Source organism: Homo sapiens, chromosome 4 (genome assembly GCF_000001405.40).
Source record: "Homo sapiens chromosome 4, GRCh38.p14 Primary Assembly".
In the NCBI taxonomy this organism is placed as follows: domain Eukaryota; kingdom Metazoa; phylum Chordata; class Mammalia; order Primates; family Hominidae; genus Homo; species Homo sapiens.
In genome coordinates this window covers 184,755,377-184,779,656 of record NC_000004.12, presented here as the reverse complement: position 1 = coordinate 184,779,656, position 24,280 = coordinate 184,755,377, and the positions used below count along the sequence as shown (strand labels likewise).

General features: G+C 42.6%; 1 protein-coding gene across 28 annotated transcripts in view; it reads left to right on the top strand.

The window, feature by feature from the left end:
- The window catches only part of ACSL1 (acyl-CoA synthetase long chain family member 1), a 71,000-nt gene extending 46,938 nt beyond the window's left edge, over window positions 1-24,062 (top strand). For 20 of the 28 annotated variants that reach the window (NR_167703.1, NR_167704.1, NR_167705.1 and 17 more), the window contains 16 exons: window positions 2,674-2,773; window positions 2,995-3,173; window positions 5,782-5,814; window positions 5,943-5,994; window positions 6,503-6,576; window positions 9,181-9,258; window positions 11,207-11,341; window positions 12,901-13,035; window positions 13,671-13,766; window positions 14,732-14,804; window positions 16,402-16,490; window positions 17,134-17,250; window positions 19,157-19,300; window positions 21,737-21,838; window positions 21,951-22,022; window positions 22,392-24,062. Coding sequence is in view for 20 of the 28 variants with exons in the window: in XM_017007887.2 (XP_016863376.1) it covers window positions 2,674-2,773; window positions 2,995-3,173; window positions 5,782-5,814; window positions 5,943-5,994; window positions 6,503-6,576; window positions 9,181-9,258; window positions 11,207-11,341; window positions 12,901-13,035; window positions 13,671-13,766; window positions 14,732-14,804; window positions 16,402-16,490; window positions 17,134-17,250; window positions 19,157-19,300; window positions 21,737-21,838; window positions 21,951-22,022; window positions 22,392-22,532 (1,620 nt within the window). In the remaining 8 variants the exon portion in view is untranslated. Of the gene's footprint in view, window positions 1-2,673; window positions 2,774-2,994; window positions 3,174-4,241; window positions 4,288-5,781; window positions 5,815-5,942; window positions 5,995-6,502; window positions 6,577-9,180; window positions 9,259-9,324; window positions 9,403-11,206; window positions 11,342-12,900; window positions 13,036-13,670; window positions 13,767-14,731; window positions 14,805-16,401; window positions 16,491-17,133; window positions 17,251-19,156; window positions 19,301-21,736; window positions 21,839-21,950; window positions 22,023-22,391 lie in introns of all 28 variants that reach the window. The other 8 variants (NR_167702.1, NM_001381884.1, NM_001381885.1 and 5 more) reach the window with 2 other exon arrangements.
- Window positions 24,063-24,280: the final 218 nt, after the last annotated feature.

Here is a 24,280-nt window from a genome sequence, read left to right as displayed (position 1 = left end):
AGCAGGTTCCTTTTTTTCCTTTCTGAAAGGTATGAGGCTTTCCCTCTGGTTGGTTTCTAGAGTTTAAAATACCATGGGTGATGGGGACAGTACTCACTGCTAGCCAGCCTTCCTTTGGGCAGTCTGTCATTGGTGGTCTAAGCCCAGCACGGTTTCTGTAAACCAGTGTGTAAAAGTGTGTTAGTCCATTTTCATGCTGCTGATAAAGACATACCTGAGACTGGGAACAAAAAGAGGTTTAATTGGACTTGCAGTTTCACATGGCTGGGGGGGCCTCAGAATCATGGCAGGAGGTGAAAGGCACTTCTTACATGGTGGCGGCAAGAGAAAATGCGGAAGAAGCAAAAGCAGAAACCCCTGATAAACCCATCAGATCTCATGAAACTTACTATCACAAAAATAGCATGGGAAAGACCAGCCCCCATGATTCAATTACCTCCCCCAGGGTCCCTCCCACAACACGTGGGAATTCTGGGAGATACAATTCAAGTTGAGATTTGGGTGGGGACACAGCCAAAACATATCAGAAACTGAGTTTAAATGAGCAGCTCTTTTGGAAGTATTGCTTATGGTATGACTCAATAGATTAGTAGATCTAGCTGGCTTAGAAAAATGGAAGCATCTGGCTTGAAGAAATCGAATTTATTCTTATACCTGCTTGTGTCCAGAAGACATGCTGACTCAATCCCTGTGCTACTGACTTTTTTTTTTTTATATAAATAAAGATGGCTTCTTAGAGTTTTGTGGTCTTTCAAGGGGAAAACAGCATTCTCCACAGCTGGACTGTGACTGGGCTTGTAGAATTTAGTTTTTTTCATCCCAAATGAACACATCAAAATGTTTGTTTTGATGGAATTTTATCATGAATCTAGAACTGCAAAACAAATAAGAAATAGGTTCCTTCCTGTATTTATGAGTTCATTCAACAAATGTTTGCTGAGCACCCACTATATGTCAGACACTGTGTTGGGGTGCCAAAGCACAGTGACTCGGCCTCTCTTCCTGAGGTACCACGTAAGGCAAGACAGACCTAAACACCGGTGCTTTCTCTGTCAAGTGGTAAGTGTGGGCGCAGGGCAGAAGGATTATGGGAGCTCAGTCAAGGAGGGCTCCCTGGAGGTGGCACCTGAGTAGAATCTTGAAGGAAATAGGGGCGGGGAGGCCAAGGGAATGCCCACGTTCACACCTGTGTCTGGGAGTGGAGCATTTTCATGTGGTGGAGTGGCAGGAAAGACAGCCTTCCTCATGCGTCACATGTGCCTAAGGAGCTGGGACCTGATTTCTATGTTGTTGGCTGAAAATTCCTTCTGGGAAAAAACCGAAACTCAGAAGCCTAGTTCCAGGCCAAGTGGATGTGAGTGGGTTGTGCCCCCTTCCCCCGGCTGTGCCTTTTTCTGTCCTGTGTGTCAGAGTTCTGCAGATGATTTCATTAGAAAGGTGCAGCCGGAGGCAGTGGGGTACCCCTGGGTATGGTAGTGAAAGAGTGATCTTTCACCTTTGTCCAGTAGGTAGGGCAGTGGCTATGTGGCCAGTGCCTTCAGACACATCTTACTGCATCTTGCATGTGGCAGTGTGGCCAGTTATTGTCTCACTTCTTTCCTGCACTTTTCTAGAGGGATTTTATCAAAACAGTTTTGCTGCTAGACAAGGTACTTCTTCCCCTATTCCAGGGCATACAGTGCCCTGCTGCCAGAGGGGTCTTCCTTGAGCCCCACAGCCGCTGTTTTGCTGAGAAACTCTCAGTGGCTGCTCCGTGCTCTCCAGCCAGAACCATCTGTGCCAGTCAGATCGCTCTCACTACCCCTGCTTTTGATCCTGCCATCCCCTCTGTTAGCATCTCCCTGCCTCCCTCTGTCTCTGTCTCTCTCTCTCTCTTTCTTTCTCTTTCCAAAGGCAATCTCAGTTACACCCTCCCAGTAGCATCTGTAGCTACCTTGGCCGATGGTGGGCTTTCTTATCTCTGGGTCAGTCCCTGTCTGATAATTATTGCTAATTATCTTTTAACATATTTGCCTCAATTCTTCAGGCGGATTTTAATTTATCTTTCTTTCTCTCTTTCTCTCCTTTCCTTTCCTTCCTTTTTTCTTTTCTTTCTCAATCTCTCCTCTTTCTCTCTCTGTCCTCTCATCTTTCTTTCTCTCTCTCTCTTTCCTTCCTTCCCTCCCTCCCTCCCTCTCTTTGTACATGCATACATACATACATACAGGATCTCACTCTGTCACCCAGGCTGGAGTGCACTGGTGTGATCACAGCTCACTGCAGCCTCAACCTCCTGGGTTCAAGCAATCCTCCCGCCTCAGCCTCTCAAGTAGCTGCGACATGGTGTGTGCCACCATGTCCAGATAACTTTTGTAGAGGCAGGGTTTTGCCATGTTTCCCAGGCTGGTCTTGAACTCCTGGGCTCAACTGATTCCCCCAACCTTGGCCTCCCAAAGTGCTGGGATCACTGGTGTGAGTCAGTGTGCCTGGCCTTAATTTCTTTTTAAGAAGGGGGCATGTGTTTTGTTCTCATTCTGAATCCCTTATAGCACCTGGCACAGAGTAGTAGCTAACACAGATGTTAATTTTGCTGCGTCAAATGTTTTCACTTTGAATCTCTCTTGAGTATTGTTCTCCTTATTGATTACATGATGACATCCTGTTTTCTCTCCCTGACCTTTACTGTTTGTTTAGTGGGTGATTATTGAACAAGGATGCTTTGCTTATTCGATGGTGATCGTTCCACTTTATGATACCCTTGGAAATGAAGCCATCACGTACATAGTCAACAAAGGTACGTCTGTGATCTTTGCCTGGATTATTGGCATAGTTATTGGTTAGGTTCAGTGACTTTACATTTGCTTACATTTGATTTGACAAAGATTTTACATGTAAATATATATCTACCTTTTTATTCAAAGAATGTAGTACTTCAAGTATCCTTGTGCTGGATATGACAGAGTGAATCTTTTAACATCCCAGAGCTTATTCTTCATTGTATCTCTTCATTTACAGCTGAACTCTCTCTGGTTTTTGTTGACAAGCCAGAGAAGGCCAAACTCTTATTAGAGGGTGTAGAAAATAAGTTAATACCAGGCCTTAAAATCATAGTTGTCATGGATGCCTACGGCAGTGAACTGGTGGAACGAGGCCAGAGGTGTGGGGTGGAAGTCACCAGCATGAAGGCGATGGAGGTGAGTGCCCTGCCTCCTTCCCTTCTCTGAAGGCTTTCCCTGGGGCCGTGTTGGCTCACACGTGCTATCCAGTGCTATCTAGTGCTATGGTGCAGTCCCAGCGCTGGCCGGTTGCCTCCGCAACCCATGAAAGAGAGCAGAAACTTCTGTCTCATTGCTGGAAAAAGGATTCTACATGTGTGCCCAGTGTTAACACCTCACACCTTACCCAAGTGCTTTCAGCACTCCAATATTTATTCCAGAGCACTGACAAGCTGTGCCCGGAAATGCCAGAAATGGGAATTACAGCTTCAGGCAGGTGGAACTTTCAGTTTCTGTGTCTCCTTTGGGCTTTAATGCCTTTTACTTACTAATTTGTCTCTAATGCCAAGCCAAGTATAGAAATCAGCCTCATCGTTCTTTTCCCTGGATGGCTCGTGGAGAGTCTTGGTGAATTTCCAACATGCATGTTTGATTTGGTTTGTTTTCATATTGACTCTTAAGAGTCATACCAATCACAAGTTTAAAGGCAGCCATTCCAGGAGAATGAGCGTGGTGGTCCATGCTCAGCTTGGGTGCTTGATGTCAGATGATATAAGAAGTTGATCCCCGTCAGTTGGACTTGGATTAGAGTTCCATCCAAGGAACATGGCCGGAGGAAGATCTTTTCATATACATATCATAACAAGTCATAGGAAAACAGAGTCAGTCCTTCTCTTTCTGAAGGTGTTAGAAATATTTTTCTGAAACTGTTATAGATAGGATTTTAAATTTTTATGTGTAGTTTTCCTCCTCCTACAAAGAATTTGAGGCTATAAGTAAGGATCTGTAGAACCTTTCCTGAGGAACCCAGTAGGCACAGGGAAGCGCGGGTGTTCTAACAGAACCTTCTCTCTTGTGCATGTGTGCGCCCCTGCCCAACTCTCTCTCTCAGTAGCATCGAACGTGATTCCGCAAGTGCTGACCCGGGTGCTTCCTTGTTGAATTGGGGTTTTATAGCTTCTTACCTAGTGTTTCCCCACTTCTGTTTTTTTACTTTTAACCCTCTTTTACTATAATGTAATCTCTTTTTCCCTTACCTTCCCACAGATGCAAGAATTTTTCTGGTGTTTTTTGACTGCTGTATGATAAAGAAGTAATGTTGAAATTTAAAAATTATTTAGTTGATTGAAGATTATAATATAAAGTTTATATTAAAATATTAATTTATAGAAGACATTGTTTTACACTTACCTGTTTAATATGATCTGTACTTAGTTTTTAAAAATATTCTGAGCAAAAGGTGAAGAGATCGCCCCACTGCACTGCAGCCTGGGTGACAGAGCGAGACTCCATCTCAAAAAATAATAATAATTGCAGTATTTTTCCTAAGTGATACTGTAAGAGAGATGTAAGGCTGTGAAACTTTTGCGGCAACAGTGCACTAATTTGGATAATGTTTGTTCCCAATAAATTAAGAGCCAAATTGTATGTAACTGGTGCTTTATTTTATTTAACATCAGTTTTTGAAGAATTGGGCATCTCCAGAAGTTATGTAAGAATTTTTAATAGACAAATAGAAATCTGGAGCTAATAAAGGTTATTTTGAAAAAAATGTACAGAATTATTGCTTTAGCTTTTGGCTGACCTCTAATTGGATATATTAGTTCCTGTTCTTAATCGGTGGTCTGTCACTACATCATTTAAAATGTAATTAAGATTGAAAACTTAATGTATGCTGGGCAGAAACTCACTAAGCCCTGAGCACACCCATCTAATTTCCACGTGAATTGAACATGTTCAATGGCGTGTTCAATGGCATGTTCATTCCATATCCTCATTCAAGCTGTTCCATTTGAATAGGAAAAGAATATAAATAGTTCATTTGTTAAAATTAATAGATATTAAAGTGGCCACCAAGACTGCCCTAATGCAGTAAACCGAACCCCATCAGTGGTAGTGACTGGAAGCCTGCCGCTGGGAAATGCTGTCCCCGCGCAATGCTTCTGTCATTCTTAACCTTCAAGTCCATTCAGGAAGGAGTCTTAGAGGGTCTGCTGTGGCCTGTTTTATAATTGGGGGCTCCCAAATCCTATCTCCACTCTACGAGGGGAGATATTTGAGCAGATATTTGAGCCTCTCCAAAATGCCTAGCATTTCAATCGAGCAGAGATTGATTTTTCTTCTTCCCAGATTGCAGATGTCAGTTGTGCAGAATGTGGGGGTGAGGTAGTGCTGTGCTCTGATTTGAGGAACCTACGAAGTATCTGCAGTATCTCGTTATGGTTAAGAACAGGGCTTTATTAAAGGCCCTAATAAGAAGTGGAAGTGGGGACCAGAAATGCATGGTAAAGACTTTGGCTGCTGTTTTTTTAATACATCCTATTTCAAAGACCAGTCCTAATACCGTTTATGTAGTTTTATGTAAGAGAAGAGGTAACTGGAAAATGGCTTCTCAGAACAATGAATAAATATTTTGGTTCTGGTTAATTAAAACTGCCATAGTTTCTTTAATTAGAAAATTATGCTGTTTTCGAGCCAGGTGTGAATGAACCCCACAGTAAAGCCAGCTTTAAGTGACTCGATGTGACCTTATCCTTTACAGTTAGAAAACGTTTCCATTTAAGACTTTTTTTCTCTTCTAATTAAGGACCTGGGAAGAGCCAACAGACGGAAGCCCAAGGTAAGCACACCGTGTCAGACCCTGCTCTGTCCTCTTTGTAGTTTTCAATATCTAGCCTGGTACCTTGTGGCTTATAGTTCTCTTTTCTGTTCTGATTTATACCAGCTTTTTTTTTTTTTAATCTTTAGCCTCCAGCACCTGAAGATCTTGCAGTAATTTGTTTCACAAGTGGAACTACAGGTGAGTTTTGAGATAGAATTGCTTCTACATATGGCAGCCATTGGTCTGGACTCTCCCCTACCTCTTTTGGATGACTTATCAGCTAACAGTAGACGGACCAAAAGCAGAAGAGAAGGAAGCGGTTCAAGTGCTGTCTTCTTGTTGCTCTGTAAGATCTTCTCAGAGTCCAAGAGTGCCGGATAATTCCTCAAACATTTATTGAGGGTGATATTAGATTCACCTGTCTTCCTAGGACAGACTATATCGGTGGCTCCCAGGAAGAAAATTTCTGGTTTTTCTTCTCTTATGACTACGTATATACCCTTTAAAATGTGCCCATATTAATAAAGGTTTTTAAAGATAAGTCAGTGTAAGGATTGCAGGTTGCTTAGGAATTTAGTGTTCAACATTTGGTTTTCACGATATATCTAACAGTAGAGGTGTCTGAAGCCCTAATTATGTGAGGTTTCTGGGCCTCCTTCATTTCTGTCATTCTTTAACTTTGTTCTGCTTCATATGTGCTCCACAGGCAACCCCAAAGGAGCAATGGTCACTCACCGAAACATAGTGAGCGATTGTTCAGCTTTTGTGAAAGCAACAGAGGTAACTTTTTGGGATGTCGTCATCTTTCCTCATTGATTGACATTAGTCCTTGAGAATGAAAGTGCTGAAGGTGGGCACCAGTGTGTTAGGTCCATGTGGCATTTAGAAACGATGTGACATATGGGTAAGGTCAGAACTTTAGGCCCAAGTCCACCTTCTCTCTTTTTTCACTTTGAACCTAATCGCCAACCCTTGCCTTATGATAATTAAGGTGAATTGACAGATGAAGTTCACTGCAACATTTATATAGAGAAACTCTATTTGGATATTGCCCTAGAAACATGTCCAAGAAAGGACAGAGAAGAGATGGACTCTCTTGTGTTTTTATCCAGCGTCCCTGTATTTGGGAAATAATTTATTTTAAATTGGCAATGATATGTTAAAAGTTTTTGAATGATTATTATCTGTTGTGGTCAGTGTGACTTCCATTGCACTAGAAGTAGTAAAGCCTTGCACTTCAGCTAATTTCCCATGCTTTTAAAGTTTACTATCCAGTGTCTTAGTCTATCCAGTCACAGCAGGGCCCCATCTACATTGGGAGTTAGGATGTTGACATACGAATTTAGAAGGGGGTGATGTGATTCAGTCCATAACACCAACAGCCTATTCCAAACTTGCCTTTTAAAAAGGTGCTTATTGAACCATATGCCTTTTCCTTATACTCTTTTTTACATTTAACATAATTGGCTTTTGCAGTCTCTTTGGAAGTATTCTGTAGCTCTGATTTTTGTAGCAGGAGCCTGAGCTTAATGGCTTTGGGGAATGGACATGTTTGGTGGCTGCAGAAAACTGATCTTTGAGGGATCTTGCCACTTACTTTACTTGGCTCACACTTTCCAAATGCCCTTTTTAAAGATGTATACTTTCTAAACAGAGTTCAACATTTAGTACCTTACCAAAGTGAAATTTTAATTTCCTAATTGGCCTTCAAACAAAACTTAAAATGCATTGGTGGCTCATTGAGGCAAATGATTACAGAACTTTGTTTAAAGTCAGTTACAATATCAAATCAATTACAATATCAGTATCTTCTCAGCTTTGTAAGATGTCTAATCATGATAATGGACAATATTTTTGTTCTGAGTCAGAAAGTTGAAAAGTATAGATAGAATGGAGTCCGATTTCTCATTATATTAATATAACAATTTCATCCTGAGAAGTACTACTTGGGATGCCTGTCAGACTTGAATAAAATCCAGCTGAGATTATAGCATGCTCAGCCCACATCCAGTGCTTCTGGGGCTGCTGTGTTTGCTCAGGATTGATGCTTTCATCCATTGTCACATTATTATTAAGGGTGACCCAGCTTTAGGAAAGGAAGGGGCATGGCTCAGAACTTGGTATATCATCCCCTAGGTAACGACAATGCCCTCATTTCTTAGTTGGTATGACAGCAGCTGCTCTTGCACACCCCCTGTTTTGGCCAGAATTCTTTATGTTAATAACATGAATATTCTATACAAACCCTCACTGTGCCTGCCCTAAGTAAGGCCCATTCTGAGGGAAACCAGATGTCCAAACTTAATCTGTCTGTGGACCCATCATGATCAGCATTTTATAGGAGAGCAAATTCCTGGGTGCCAGATCTGAGGTTGCATTAAACAAATTGTGATATGTAAAGTAGGGCTTTAAGGTATTAAAAATATTGATCAAACTCAAAATACTCTAAGGACCTTGGAAATCCACCTTCTTTTATCTTCTTTCCTCCTTTCCCTTAACAACATAAAATGCAATTTTATGTTGAAATGGGTCCTGTATTTCTTAAGGTAAAATTGAACTTGCTGGGTACTAGGATACTGTAGTGATGAAATACTAACTGATTAGAGCATATAATCCCTTAACCTTCCAATTTGAGCAAAATTTTCCTTGTTTTGATTAAAGCCCTGAAGTGGATTTACTTTGTCATGGGGAGTGACTTCCACTTTGTTTGAATAATTAAAGTATTGCTTTTTTTTTTGATTCAGAGTCTCACTCTGTTGCCCAGGCTGGAGTGCAGTGGTGCAATCTCGGCTTACTGCAGCCTCCGCCTCCCTGATTCAAGCAATTCTGCTGCCTCAGCCTCCTGAGTAGCTGGAATTACAGGCATGTGCCACCATGTCTGGCTAATTTTTGTATTTTTAGTAGGGATGGGGTTTTACCATGTTGGCCAGGCTGGTCTTGAACTCCTGACCTCAAGTGATCTGCCTGCCTTGGCCTCCCAAAGTGCTGGGATTACAGGCGTGAGCCACCATGCCCCTTGTTTTTCATTTTATTCTTTGGTGAGAAGAAATTGCAGACCATAAGCAAAAGCCGTTTCTCCTCAGTGTTGAGGTACTATGTGCTCAGAAATAAAATGGAAGTTTACTCGGAGTCTTTTTTTTTTAATTTTATTATTATTATACTTTAAGTTTTAGGGTGCATGTGCACAACGTGCAGGTGTGTTACATATGTGTACATGTGCCATGCTGGTGTGCTGCACCCATAAACTTGTCATTTAGCATTAGGTATATCTCCTAATGCTATCCCTCCCCCCTCCCCCTACCCCACAACCGTCCCTGGTGTGCGATGTTCCCCTTCACTGGGAGTCTTAATGCTTTTCTGCCTTGCTGGTGTCTTTGCTTACAGAATACAGTCAATCCTTGCCCAGATGATACTTTGATATCTTTCTTGCCTCTCGCCCATATGTTTGAGAGAGTTGTAGAGGTAGGCATTTAATTTTGTTTTCCTTGCTTGTTTGTGTATGTTCTGCTAAGTTGTTGTGTTTTACAGAAAGCACTTCCCTTGAGTGCCAGTGACACACACATTTCATATTTACCACTTGCTCACATTTATGAACAGTTATTGAAGGTAAGTGTGGCGTGCGGACTGTCATCCCTATAGAGAATTCTCTGCTCAGCCCCGTTTTAGAAATGGTGCAGATTATTTGAAAGAATATAAATTCTTTTTCTGAGTATGAACAGGATACTGGAATTTAATCACTCATTTTAAAATTAGGAGTTCAGACTTTTGAAGGATACTAATGTGGACATGAGTCCAGAAAAACCAACTATAAAGGTAAAGTCATTATTAATTCAGTTCTACAAAGCCCAGCGAGGCTTCCGTTCTGTGAGAAGTCTCTATTTTTGATTGTGCTTGTTCCTAATGCACAAGTTGGCTTGCGACTAATTTTTTCAGCAATATTCTAAGTGCCCTTGGAGAAAGAGGATGATCCTTGAGTTGACCTTTGCCTAGGCTCCCTGTAATCAACTGTGTGACTAATTTTAAAACTGACCAAGAACCACCTTTTTTCCTTCTTTGACAATTTTGGATTTTATGCTGTAGGAAAAAACAATGAGCACCATTCATTCATTTAGTGAGTAGTTACTGAGCTCTAGCTGTGTGCCCTCTGCTGTGTTGGAGACAGAGGTGACTATCAGCCGATGCTTTGGATGACAGCTGCCCTGTCGGATTTGCTCATCCCAAAGGATCGAAGGCGATTAGATCCCATCTGCCATCTGTTCCTTCTACTTCCTGCACACCTCAGAGTCTTCTGGGTTTATAAAGCAATCTCACATGAGTTGCTGTACCTAACGAGTTTTAGAGGTGTGCCTAGAAGGCAGGCCACGCTGAACAAAAGCTTTCTGAGCTGTAATTGTTAAACAGTGAACCATGGTGTACCTTTCTCGTGGTTTCTGCTTCTAAGACAGAGAACATTTGTACTTCCCTTGTGTCATCTTTTGAATCTTTTCTTTTTAAATTTTAAAATAGGCAAACTGTCAGGTCCATATGGCTTGCCAGCATGGTTTGTACTAGACAGGAAAAAAATCATGCAGTGTATTCTAGCTGAATGGCAAGCCACTCTGGTATTAGATACCCTGGTGTCACAAATTCATCATACTTGGTGGCCTTTCAGAAACTTCTAGTTAGATTCAAACAAAAGAAAGTGAGACTTTAACAAACTTGGACTCTAGGCAAGAAGTTAAGTTTTTATTTTGAGAATAAATTAAATGTAAAGTTTCTGGAAGGCTATATATATATATATATATATATATTTGAGACAGAGTCTCCCTCCGTGGCCCAGGCTGGAGAGCAGTGGCACAATCTCAGCCCACTGCAATCTCCGCCTCCTGGGTTCAAGCGATTCTCCAGCCTCAGCCTCCTGAGTCGCTGGGACTATGGGCACCCGCCACCAAGCCCGGCTAATTTTTGTTTTAGTAGAGATGGGGTTTCACCGTAACGTGGCCAGGCTCGACTGGAACTCCTGACCTCAAGTGATCCACCTGCCTCGGCCTCCCAAAGTGCTGGGATTATAGGTGTAAGCCACCGCGCCCAGCCACTAAAAATATTTAGAATATGTAATACCATGTCATTCATTGAACAGATACTTACCACCGCACTAAAAGAGTAGAACCTCTGTGGTCATCACTAAAAACAACATAGCCTGGTTTTTTACTGAGTCCCATATCTTCAGGATAACCAAGAGAAATACCACATTTCCATGTTGTACAATGACTAGTAAATGCACATTTTTTTTAAGTTACCTATATTTAGGAAATTTAAGATTTCTGGAAACTGGCCTGAAATGCTAAAACTGAAATGTTGGATGTTGTCCATATGTTGTGTAACCCCTGCTGTGGTGATAAAATGTTTGTTTTTTCCATTACCCCTATAGTGTGTAATGCTGTGTCATGGAGCTAAAATCGGATTTTTCCAAGGAGATATCAGGCTGCTCATGGATGACCTCAAGGTGCTTCAACCCACTGTCTTCCCCGTGGTTCCAAGACTGCTGAACCGGATGTTTGACCGAGTAAGTTCCAAGCAGCGAAGTCCCAGGACTGAGCACTGACTTGGACGCAGGGGCTTGGGCTTGAATTGGGCTGTGCCATGTGCCATCTGTATGACCCTGGACAATCCTCCCAATCTTACAGAACTTCAGTTTACTCATCTGTAAAGTTAGAATGCGTTTACCTCTCAGAGTGGCTGATAAGGATTATAAGAGAAAATGCATGAACACACTTTGTAAACCATGGTCACAACACAAGCATAATGTGGGAGGTCATTTTATTTTTACAATAAACACTTTGAGCCTCTGCTTCCTCATGTGTAACACGGACTGTTTACCTCTTCTCTCCTACTGTTTGTCTCCAAAAGTTGCTAATGGGATCACGTAAGAATAGTAACTATGAAATGGTTTTCTTCATTGTAAAGCTCCTTGCATGGACATGTAAAACATTACTTAATTGGCCACACTGAAAGAAGTGACTAAGCCACAGCAGAGCCCAAGAGAACACCAGCCCCTCTGCGGTGGGTATCATTGCGTGGACCGCACAGCCAGGGCCAGGCGCGAGGGGCATGAGCAATCTCCAGAAAGAGTGTTCACTTACTCTTTATTTTGAGGCAGGACTTTTGTTATCTCTCAGAACGTTCTTATGTTTTTAATGGTTCTTTTTAAAAGGACAACTTTATCAACATATAATACTCTGTATAATTTGCTGATTTAAAGTGTGTAATTCAAAGGTTTTGAGTACTTTCACAGTTCTCCAGCCATCACTACAATCAATTTTAGAACATTTTCATGACCTCCAAGAGAAACCCTTACCTATTCTTTATCAGCTCCCCGACCCCCTCCACCCTTCAGCATCCGCTCATCTGTGTATTTCTCTATTCTGGACTTTTCTGTGGATGGAATCATGCCATATGTGCTCCTTTGTGACTGGCGTCTTTCACAAGCATCCATGTAGCACGTATTAGCACTTCATTCCTTTTAACGGCCAAATAGTATTCCACTGTATGGGTATAACGCATTTTATTTATCCATTCCTTTTTTTTTTTTTTTTTTGAGACAGGGTCTCTCTCTCTGTCATCCAGGCTAGAGTGCAGTGGTGTTATCATGGCTCACTGCAGCCTCCACCTCCAGGGCTCAAGCAGTCCTCCCACCTTAGCCTCCTGAGTAGCTGGGACCGCAGGCATGTGCCACCATGCCCGGCTAATTTCTGTATTTTTTGTAGAGATGGGGTCTTACCATGTTGGCCACACTGGACTCAAACTCCTGAGCTCAGGAGATCTGCCCACCTCAGCCTCCCAAAGTGCTGGGAATACAAGCGTGGGCCACCGCACCTGGCCTACACATTCCTACTCGATGGGCATTTGGGGATGTATGTGTCCATTGCTCCTGGGTGTATACCGAGGTGTGGAATTGCTGTCCTGTGCTGACCATGTGGGGCCGTTAGAGGACCGGCCAGGCTGTCAGAGCAGCTGTGCCATTTTGTGTTCCCCAGCTGTGTGTGAGGGTTCTGATTTCTCCACACTCTTTGACTCTGGCCATCCTAGTAGGTGTGAAAACTTTCTCATGTCTTGCCTCATTAGATTTTCGGACAAGCAAACACCACGCTGAAGCGATGGCTCTTGGACTTTGCCTCCAAGAGGAAAGAAGCAGAGCTTCGCAGCGGCATCATCAGAAACAACAGCCTGTGGGACCGGCTGATCTTCCACAAAGTACAGGTAACACGTGACTCACAGCCACTGCTCCCATGGAAACCGACTTCGCTTTTCAGAGTTCTGGGAGGGCCTTTTTTGTGAGAGGGAGAGATGAAGGTAAGGGAGAGAATAACATGTTTTTGTTAATTCTGGCACACATTTAAAAACTAAGGCAAAGCCATTAAGGAGGCCTCAGTTTCTAAGATCAATAGTATTGCAGCCATCTAGGGGGAAAAGGAGTCAGGGTAGTGGAGCCTTTCTCATTCTCCATTTTGTTGCGTTTTTCCGGAACAAGCGTGTCACTCTTGAGGTAATTTTTCAAGCATGAGTGATAACGTGTAACAATATCATGCCCCCCAGAAGGCCAGAATTGTGGTAGTTGCCACAGATCTGCCCAGTTGTGTTCTAATTCCCTGAAATAGCTTCTGCAGAGGTGGGGCTGACTTCCATCCCCATTGGGAGGGAACAGGGCAGTCACGGGTGGAAACAAACCGTAGCCCTGTGCTGCCATCATGAGGGCTGTGAGTTCTCCGTGTGGCCTCCGTGTGGTCTGCAGCTATGGGTTAGGGAACGGGGTCCCAAGCAGGCCCCCTTGGCGGAGAGGCCGCCGACTTCCAGGTGTGTAACCCTCACCTTCTCCCACTCTCCCTCCCTGAAAGTCGAGCCTGGGCGGAAGAGTCCGGCTGATGGTGACAGGAGCCGCCCCGGTGTCTGCCACTGTGCTGACGTTCCTCAGAGCAGCCCTGGGCTGTCAGGTGAGGTGGATGTCACGGCGCCTGATTCTCCCACACTAGGATGCCCAGTCCTCTTCTGCACCAAAAGTCATCTGTACTGTGTGTGTGTGTGTGTGTTCTTTCTTAATTGACAAGCGTATCTATATTTATGGCGTAACAACATGATGTTTTGATGTATGTAATATGTAAACATTGTGGAATGGCTAAATGAAGCTAATTAACATGTGTCTTACCACCCATACTTTTTTTTCCCACGTGGTGAGAACACTTGGAATCTACCCTCTGGGCAGTTTTCAAGTATATGATACATTGTTGTTAGCTCTAGTCACCACGTGGTGCTATGGAGCTCTTGAACCAGTTCCTCCTGATGGAGACTTTGTGTCCTTTCACCAACATCACCCCTATCCTTCCCACCCCCTACTTTGTGTGTGTGTGTTATGTTTGTTTGGAAGATATGTTATTATTAGGTTGCTTGGAGAAGCAACCATATGTATATTTTTTACCCTAGGCAGGGGAATGTGTGTGTCTGCCATTTGTTGAATTTTCTCTAGGATCAGGTGCAAGACAACCTTTAGAAGCAGGTATGCAGCTGTGGAATGGGTCACAGGTGATGAGCCTACCCGCACACCATGCTGACAACCTGTAGTAAAGGGAGAAAGGAGGATTTGGTGGCAGACGGGGCATGTGTGGGGTACATGTCCTGTGAATTGGCCAAGGGAGTTCACTGCTGCTGGGTGGTGACCAGTCACATAGGGGTTCTCCCTCGCTTGGCCACTGGAAGTTAAATAGAAGGTGTACCTGGGTGACGGCTGGTGTTGGCGTAAAGCACACTGGACCATTGAATGAACTTACTGAACAGACCATTTGAAATGAGATTTCACCAGTCAGCCATGACTTGGGAGTTAGTGAGACTTCATTGCTTGTGCACTTCCAGTAAAGGTGTGATTGTGCTCTCCTTAATAATGTTGCATCTCTTGGTGCCCCAGTTTTATGAAGGATACGGACAGACAGAGTGCACTGCCGGGTGCTGCCTGACCATGCCTGGAGACTGGACCGCAGGTATGGCTGTAGGAGGCTCCTTTTTGGAATTTTGTTATTCATACTGGGTTATTGGTATGTCTGGAATTGGGTTAATCACTGACTGGTTCATTAACCATCTTAAACAAAAGTGCTATGTTTCTGATCATTAGGCTCTGGGGGCAAACACTCTTGTAAGTCAGGGCACTGTGGGGAGAACACCTCCTGCAACTGAGGGGTGGCGCTGGGGATCTGACTGTAAAGCTGGTGGCAGCAGAGACTTGCCTAGACTCTACTAGTGACATCTGAGAGGGGCCCTGTGTTCCAGATTGAGAGTGTCTGGCCCAACAGAGCTTCCTAGTAATTGAGTAGGGTCTCGTTATTTGCTGGTCATTTTAAACAACAAATAGTTATTGAATTTGTACTGTGTGCTGTGCTAGGTGTTGGGACTACCAATAGGAATAAATACAAGTCCTTTTTCTCAAAAAGTCATTTCTCAAAAGGAAAAAGGAGGAGGACAAACAAAAATAATTGAGCATCTGTCATGGGTAAGCCTCTGTGATGGGTGCTTAGGATGTACCTAATGTCAGTGTAACCCCAACAGTGTCCCTGTGAGATAAGTTCTGGTACTTCTCAGAGGAAATTATAGATTGTTGCTTAAGTAACACATAAATGATGTATGAGAATTTACGCGGCATTATGCTTTGGAGCCAGGATTTCAACCCCGGCCTGACTGCAGAGCTTCTGTGCTTCCTCTGTGTCACCTGAGTAGTAAATTCTACACTGTGATAAATAAACTTCCCAGCTTATTTGGAGTATTATAAGTATTAGCACCATTTAGTAACATATATTCTAGAACCTAGCACTGTCCACTAACATCATTGTCCTGGAATTAACGCAGACAGTCTGTGAATCTTCTTTATGGTATTTGTTTAATTTTTAACCTCAGTTTCCTTAACAGAGAATTTGGAATACTGATCTCTAGAAGCTCAAATTATTAAAACATAGGAAGAATTATTTGTGATATCTAATGTGATATCTAACATATCTAATGTCTGTTGTTGCTGCTTTTGGAAAAGACAGCCCAGTCTTAACAGCCTTTGGCAAGAGAGTTAAGTTAGCTGTAGAAATAAGCACTGTCCCGTCTTAGTAAAAACTGTAAGACATGCTTCTTCATACGCAAGGAAATAAAGGCCGTGTTGATCAGAACCAGGTGGTGCGTGAGGTTTGCCAAAGCTGCATATGTTCTCTCTTCTTACAGAGAACAGGATGCTAAGAATTCTGTGTAAGATGAGTGCAAGTAATGGGTGGGGGCGATCGGAGGGTGGAAGCCGAGTGAAGGTTTGAGAGAGGCTGCTTCCAGGTGTTTGTAGGAACCTTCACATAGAGGCCAAATTACTCATAAATAACTCAGAGCATCACACTTGGAAAAGGTCCTGAAGACACTAAATATGTTCTTCCCTAGTCTAAGAATAGACTCTCTTAAATTATACTAGGAAGAGAATGGCTGTAATTGCAGAAATCAGAAGTTTATCCCAGCCGTTTTTCTTATGTGGAATCCTGTTTGCTATCAAAATAATTTGACCTGAGGTTATGAGTAGTTCCCTTAGGAATGACCATTTGCTTATTTAATATACAGGCCATGTTGGGGCCCCGATGCCGTGCAATTTGATAAAACTTGTTGATGTGGAAGAAATGAATTACATGGCTGCCGAGGGCGAGGGCGAGGTGAGTGAAAACCGTCAGTCATTTTCCCTCGCTGCCATTTCCTGTGATCGCTGGCCTTTGCGAATGCTGTGGTATTTCCCAACAGCTCAATAAAGCCATTGAACTTGACTTCATTGGTGATCCTGGAGTCTGCCAGGCTTCTTTCTGAGGGTACATTTATGTTCAGCTCTCGGGGAGTGGGCAGGAGGGACACTGATGCCTGTCTTCCTCTGCCAGGCCTCATAGGGATTTGGGCTGGAGAGCCTGCAAAGAAAGGCCCGGTGGCCTCAGTTCCTGGGACGAAGGTCCTGCCTGTTGATTGCCCTGGGTACCTATTAGTGAGCTGCTGGCTGCTGGATGGGAAGCCTAATTACTTAAAAGTGATTTCATCCCCTGCGGGGCTTTCCAACAGCTTTGAGCCAGAACCTAGGGCAAGCATTTGCCCTACAAATCGGCCAGAGCTGAGGTAATTCAGGAAGGGAAGTAGGGGCACTGGAGATCTCTCGCAGACCCTGGTGGGGCTCTGGTAACTCCCTCTGCATCCTGGAGTTTAGGGCTTCCAGCTAAAGGTTGGGGCAGACACACACGTACACACATGCACACACCAGTTTTCTCTGGAAAAACCCCAGTAAATGCTGTTCACTGATGATCTTCTTTTCTTTAGGTGTGTGTGAAAGGGCCAAATGTATTTCAGGGCTACTTGAAGGACCCAGCGAAAACAGCAGAAGCTTTGGACAAAGACGGCTGGTTACACACAGGGGACATTGGAAAATGGTTACCAGTAAGTTGCCGCCTCCTCAGGTCACAAACAGTTCAGTTCCACTGTGGGGAAGAAAATGTCTTATCTACTGTGCAGCTGCCATGTGGCAGTGGCACCCTGAATTTTCTCTTTCCCTTCCTCCTTGGTGAGTGGTATGATGTAGACTGTTCCATTTCCTGCAGGGGACAGGGTTACACTTAGCATCCTTGGTTGGATTTTCACTTTCACTTCAGCGAATATGTTTTGTTCTGATGCTTTTTTGTTTCTTTGTTGTGTTTTTGGGGTTTTTTTTTTTTGAGACGGAATCATGTTCTTGTCACCCAGGCTGGCTGGAGTGCAATGGCGTGATCTCGGCTCACTGCAACCTCCACCTCTCGGGTTCAAGTGATTCTCCTGCCTCAGCCTCCCAAGTATCTAGGATTACAGGTGCCCACCACCACACCTGGCTGATTTTTATATTTTTAGTAGAGACGGGGTTTCACCATGTTGGCCAGGCTGGTCTCAAACTCCTGACCTCAGGTGATCCACCCGCCTCAGCCTCCCAAAGTGCTGGGATTACAGGCGTGAGCCACCACCGCGCCTGGCCCGTTTTGATGCTTAACATCAATTCTGGTTGTTGCTTCTCAACCGGAATACAAAGAGACAGTGGCTTTTTTACAATATCCGTACTGAGCCGTGATGTTGAGGCCTCAGTTAAATAAGATCTGGGGGAAGTTGTGGTAGACTTCCAGCAATGTAGGATGGGTAAGGATTTGGGAATAAATGTGTTTCTTAGGTTTGTCATCTCATTAAAAATAGGGTGTTTCACAGATTAGGCGAACTCCTTGAATTTAGTTGAATGTAGTCTCAGAACCATTTACTGTAGAGAAATTCTGAAGAGTCTATCTTAAGAGTGAGAAGCTTGTGCAAGAAGCCTGACCTGTCCTACCTGTTGGTTTGACCAGTAATCTGCTGTTTCGAAGTTATTATGATGCTGATTGCAAGCCCTAAAATTACAAATATAATTTTTATTACTGTGTATTGGCAGATTCTTGTAGATTTTAGGTGCTTATTTCTTTGGAATTTGTATTGATTAGAAAAATACCTCCCAAAATTACTTCAGATTTTGCAATACCCAAACTATTTAGAGCTAAATTAAGTCCCCCTCTTCCGGTTCAAGAGAGATTAAATGTCAGTTCCAATTCTACTGTGGCACTCACGAACACATCCCATAGTCTCTCTGGACCTTGGTTTGCTCCTTTTGAAAATGGAGAACTGGTGTGGAACAAAAGAACCCTAGACACTTTCTACAGATGACTTTTGGAGGCATGAGAGTGGCCCCGGGGTGGGGATGGGGTAAAAGTGGGACTAGGGTTTTGCTTACGGCACTACTGGGATGTGGCTGGTCTGGTCCAGAGATGCTAGAGCACTTCCACAGTTGACTCACTCTTCCCAAAGGGCCAAGAGCACCCCTCCAGACATCGAGGAAGAAAACAGGAATTTGGCCTTTGTGTAGGAAACATTTCTTGAACTCTTACTCTGTGCAGAGCACTTTGGAAGGAAAAGTTGTGTTCCTGCTATTAAGGAACTTGAGTCACTTGGTGAGCCAGATGTGTATGCGCCTAATTCAGACAGGAGGCTAAATGAGCCAGCAAAGCCTTGCTAGTGTTGACCAGTCAGTGGTGCCAAGTGGTGACGCTGAATAAGCACGGGCTCTAGGACCCCTTCTCTGTCTCTGCACTTGGCCAAATAGCCTTGGACAAGTTCCTCAGTCTCTCTAAGCCTTTGTTTTCCTCTCTGTAAAATGGGATCATAACTGACCTCTGTGGGATGTTATTAGAATTAATCAATAGTGTGTATTAAATACCTTTCAGTGTTGTACTGGGATCCATCCTGGTTGGAAACCAGCCATCAGCCCATTCATAACCCCCTCCCCTCTGATCAACAGAATGGCACCTTGAAAATTATCGACCGGAAAAAGCACATATTTAAGCTGGCACAAGGAGAATACATAGCCCCTGAAAAGATTGAAAATATCTACATGCGAAGTGAGCCTGTTGCTCAGGTGTTTGTCCACGGAGAAAGCCTGCAGGTATGTGCTTTCTGGGTCTTGAATCTTGCTGCATACACATTGCCATTGCCTGGTACTCCAGGGGCTTTAAATGTGATTGGAAGTTTGAGACGCCTATCACTTGGCTTTCATGTCTAATCTGCTAGAATATCATTGACCTGTTACTGATTTTTGTTGCTTGGCATTTCCTGCTCAGGAAAATTTGTTCTCTTTAATTTCCACATTTTTATTTTACTTAGAGAGGTCTGATGTACCAAGGGGAGGTTGGATAAACATACTGGGGGACAGGGGCATGGGTAATATATGTTTCCAATTATGAAAGAAAATATTGACATGGGTTATAAGAAAGTTTACAATTTTCAAACATATTAAACCCAGCCTATTGATGATATGCTTCCTAATCATTTTTGAGCAAACGGTGGTTGTGAACCAAGAATACTCAAAGTTGAAAATCAAAATCAGTATTGCAGTGAAACATGTATGGTATTTGCCAAAATGTTGGACAGATGATGCCAAGGAAGAGAGGATCTGGTTTCCTGAAAATTAACCTTTTGGAAAGTTGGGTCAAATGGTATTTCTAGTTCTAGATCCCTGAGGAATCGCCACACTGACTTCCACAATGGTTGAACTAGTTTACAGTCCCACCAACAGTGTAAAAGCGTTCCTATTTCTCCACATCCTCTCCAGCACCTGTTGTTTCCTGACTTTTTAATGATTGCCATTCTAACTGGTGTGAGATGGTATCTCATTGTGGTTTTGATTTGCATTTCTCTGATGGCCAGTGATGATGAGCATTTTTTCATGTGTCTTTTGGCTGCATAAATGTCTTCTTTTGAGAAGTGTCTGTTCATATCCTCTACCCACTTTTTGATGGGGTTGTTTTTTTCTTGTAAATTTGTTTCAGTTCATTGTAGATTCTGGATATTAGCCCTTTGTCAGATGAGTAGGTTGCAAAAATTTTCTCCCGTTCTGTAGGTTGCCTGTTCGCTCTGATGGTAGTTTCTTTTGCTGTGCAGAAGCTGTTTAGTTTAATTAGATCCCATTTGTCAATTTTGGCTTTTGTTGCCACTGCTTTTGATGTTTTAGACATTTGACCCAGCAATCCCATTACTGGGTATATACCCAAGAGATTTATAAATCATGCTGCTATTAAAGACACATGCACACGTATGTTTATTGCAGCACTATTCACAATAGCAAAGACTTGGAACCAACCCAAATATACAACAATGATAGACTGGATTAAGAAAATGTGTCACATATACACCATGGAATACTATGCAGCCATAAAAAATGATGAGTTCATGTCCTTTGCAGGGACATGGATGAAGCTGGAAACCATCATTCTCAGCAAACTATCACAAGGACAAAAAACAAACACTGCATGTTGTCACTCATAGGTGGGAACTGAACAATGAGAACACATGGACACAGGAAGGGGAACATCACACACGAGGGCCTGTTGTGGGGTGGGGGGAGGGAGGGAGGGATAGCATTAGGAGATATACCTAATGTTAAATGACGAGTTAACAGGTGCAGCACACCAACATGGCACTAACCTGCACGTTGTGCACATGTACCCTAAAACTTAAAGTATAATTTAAAAAAAAAAGAAAAAGTTGTTAGATTTTAAAATTATTTTAGGATATTTTCTTATAAGAGAATGCACTTATTTTTCTTTGAGATTGCAGCTATTTTCGTTTGATCTAGAATCTTCTCATTCTTTTGATTTTTAATTTTATTGTTAGTAGATTATAAAGAATGGGATATTAGAGATTTTTCTTTAAAAATGAACCTATATACATTTTATTTATTTATTTTCTTAAAGATAGGGTCTCACTCTGTTGTCCAGCTGGAGTGTAATGGCAGTCATAGCTCATTACAGCTTCAAATTGCTGGGTTCCAGGGGATCCTCCTACCTCAGCCTCCTGAGTAGCTGGGATTACAGGTGCAAGCCACCACACCCAGCTGATTTTCAATTTTTTGGTAGAGATGGAGTCTCACTATATTGCCCAGACTGGTCTCGAACTCCTGGCCTCAAGTGATCCCCATTGGCTTCCCAACGTGCTAGGATTACAAGCATGAGACAGGCTTCCTTTTTTTCCTTTTTTTTTTAAAAGCAGTTATCTGATATCCATCACCTTGTTTACTTGACCCTGCTTTTAAAAAAATAAGTATATAAAAGTAAATACGAATTAGAGATTTGTTAGATTGGTATTCCCAGTGGTTTTTTAAAAACATTAATTGCAAAATTCCTGATGCTTACCACATTTTAGAGCCAGGAGTTCTTAATCTGGGCTGAGTGAACTCCTGGGGGAGGGGGGTAGTATGTTCTGAATAGATGAGCCATAACTTTCATCATATTCTCCCAGGGGGCCACAAGATGGAAAAATAAAGAACCACTATTTTAGAGCATTTGGATCAAGCTATGTAATAACTCATTTGTCTGTGTTAAAGGCATTTCTCATTGCAATTGTGGTACCAGATGTTGAGACATTATGTTCCTGGGCCCAAAAGAGAGGATTTGAAGGGTCGTTTGAGGAACTGTGCAGAAATAAGGTAAGGTTCTGAAGGGTCCAGTCTGTCCTCATCATAACTTGGCATTAAATGTACCTGTAGATATTCAGGGACCTCTAACAGAGGAAGTAATTTATTTTTCTTACCCTTTTAGGATGTCAAAAAAGCTATCCTCGAAGATATGGTGAGACTTGGGAAGGATTCTGGTCTGAAACCATTTGAACAGGTATGACCTTCATCTGAGTGGGTGAATTCCTGTAAAACAAATTTTCCATTAAGATTTTTTTACAGGTAGATTATATAAACATATGGGGTGACCTAAAGACATACATGAGGAATAAATAATGGAGTAGTTTGACAGGGGAAAGGTTTTTAAATCAAAAGCATTTATTCTCTTTTCCTGGATATCAGAATATGATCCCGAATCCTATCCTAAGAATAGGATGCCTGTCCTTTGTTGAGAAGGTGCAGCTTGGCTGAAATGAGAGGATGGATTGGATGGCTGGAGAGTGTTGATCCCCTCCAAGGCTTACGTGCTTTTGAGACTGGTGGCCCGTGTCCTTTTTCCTCTTTTAACTGCCTTGTTTATTGGCAGGTCAAAGGCATCACATTGCACCCTGAATTATTTTCTATCGACAATGGCCTTCTGACTCCAACAATGAAGGCGAAAAGGCCAGAGCTGCGGAACTATTTCAGGTCGCAGATAGATGACCTCTATTCCACTATCAAGGTTTAGTGTGAAGAAGAAAGCTCAGAGGAAATGGCACAGTTCCACAATCTCTTCTCCTGCTGATGGCCTTCATGTTGTTAATTTTGAATACAGCAAGTGTAGGGAAGGAAGCGTTCGTGTTTGACTTGTCCATTCGGGGTTCTTCTCATAGGAATGCTAGAGGAAAGAGAACACTGCCTTACAGTCACCTCATGTTGCAGACCATGTTTATGGTAATACACACTTTCCAAAATGAGCCTTAAAAATTGTAAAGGGGATACTATAAATGTGCTAAGTTATTTGAGACTTCCTCAGTTTAAAAAGTGGGTTTTAAATCTTCTGTCTCCCTGTTTCTCTAATCAAGGGGTTAGGACTTTGCTATCTCTGAGATGTCTGCTACTTGCTGCAAATTCTGCAGCTGTCTGCTGCTCTAAAGAGTACAGTGCACTAGAGGGAAGTGTTCCCTTTAAAAATAAGAACAACTGTCCTGGCTGGAGAATCTCACAAGCGGACCAGAGATCTTTTTAAATCCCTGCTACTGTCCCTTCTCACAGGCATTCACAGAACCCTTCTGATTCGTAAGGGTTACGAAACTCATGTTCTTCTCCAGTCCCCTGTGGTTTCTGTTGGAGCATAAGGTTTCCAGTAAGCGGGAGGGCAGATCCAACTCAGAACCATGCAGATAAGGAGCCTCTGGCAAATGGGTGCTCATCAGAACGCGTGGATTCTCTTTCATGGCAGAATGCTCTTGGACTCGGTTCTCCAGGCCTGATTCCCCGACTCCATCCTTTTTCAGGGGTTATTTAAAAATCTGCCTTAGATTCTATAGTGAAGACAAGCATTTCAAGAAAGAGTTACCTGGATCAGCCATGCTCAGCTGTGACGCCTGAATAACTGTCTACTTTATCTTCACTGAACCACTCACTCTGTGTAAAGGCCAACAGATTTTTAATGTGGTTTTCATATCAAAAGATCATGTTGGGATTAACTTGCCTTTTTCCCCAAAAAATAAACTCTCAGGCAAGCATTTCTTTAAAGCTATTAAGGGAGTATATACTTGAGTACTTATTGAAATGGACAGTAATAAGCAAATGTTCTTATAATGCTACCTGATTTCTATGAAATGTGTTTGACAAGCCAAAATTCTAGGATGTAGAAATCTGGAAAGTTCATTTCCTGGGATTCACTTCTCCAGGGATTTTTTAAAGTTAATTTGGGAAATTAACAGCAGTTCACTTTATTGTGAGTCTTTGCCACATTTGACTGAATTGAGCTGTCATTTGTACATTTAAAGCAGCTGTTTTGGGGTCTGTGAGAGTACATGTATTATATACAAGCACAACAGGGCTTGCACTAAAGAATTGTCATTGTAATAACACTACTTGGTAGCCTAACTTCATATATGTATTCTTAATTGCACAAAAAGTCAATAATTTGTCACCTTGGGGTTTTGAATGTTTGCTTTAAGTGTTGGCTATTTCTATGTTTTATAAACCAAAACAAAATTTCCAAAAACAATGAAGGAAACCAAAATAAATATTTCTGCATTTCAGGTGAGTGAGGCATCTTTTTTAATGTCATGTTTAATATTCGGAACAGCCTGTAATGTGCACAAGCGAAGAGCAAGAATGGCCCTGGGCCTGGAATCCTTCCCAGTTGTCTTCTTTTCTTCTTAGTCACCCTCCTCTAACTCAGCTGGCCTCAGGCACTGACAGACACTGACCCGAGCCTCCCACCAGGTTGTCTGTGGCAAAAGTCCTAACTGGTTGTGGAAA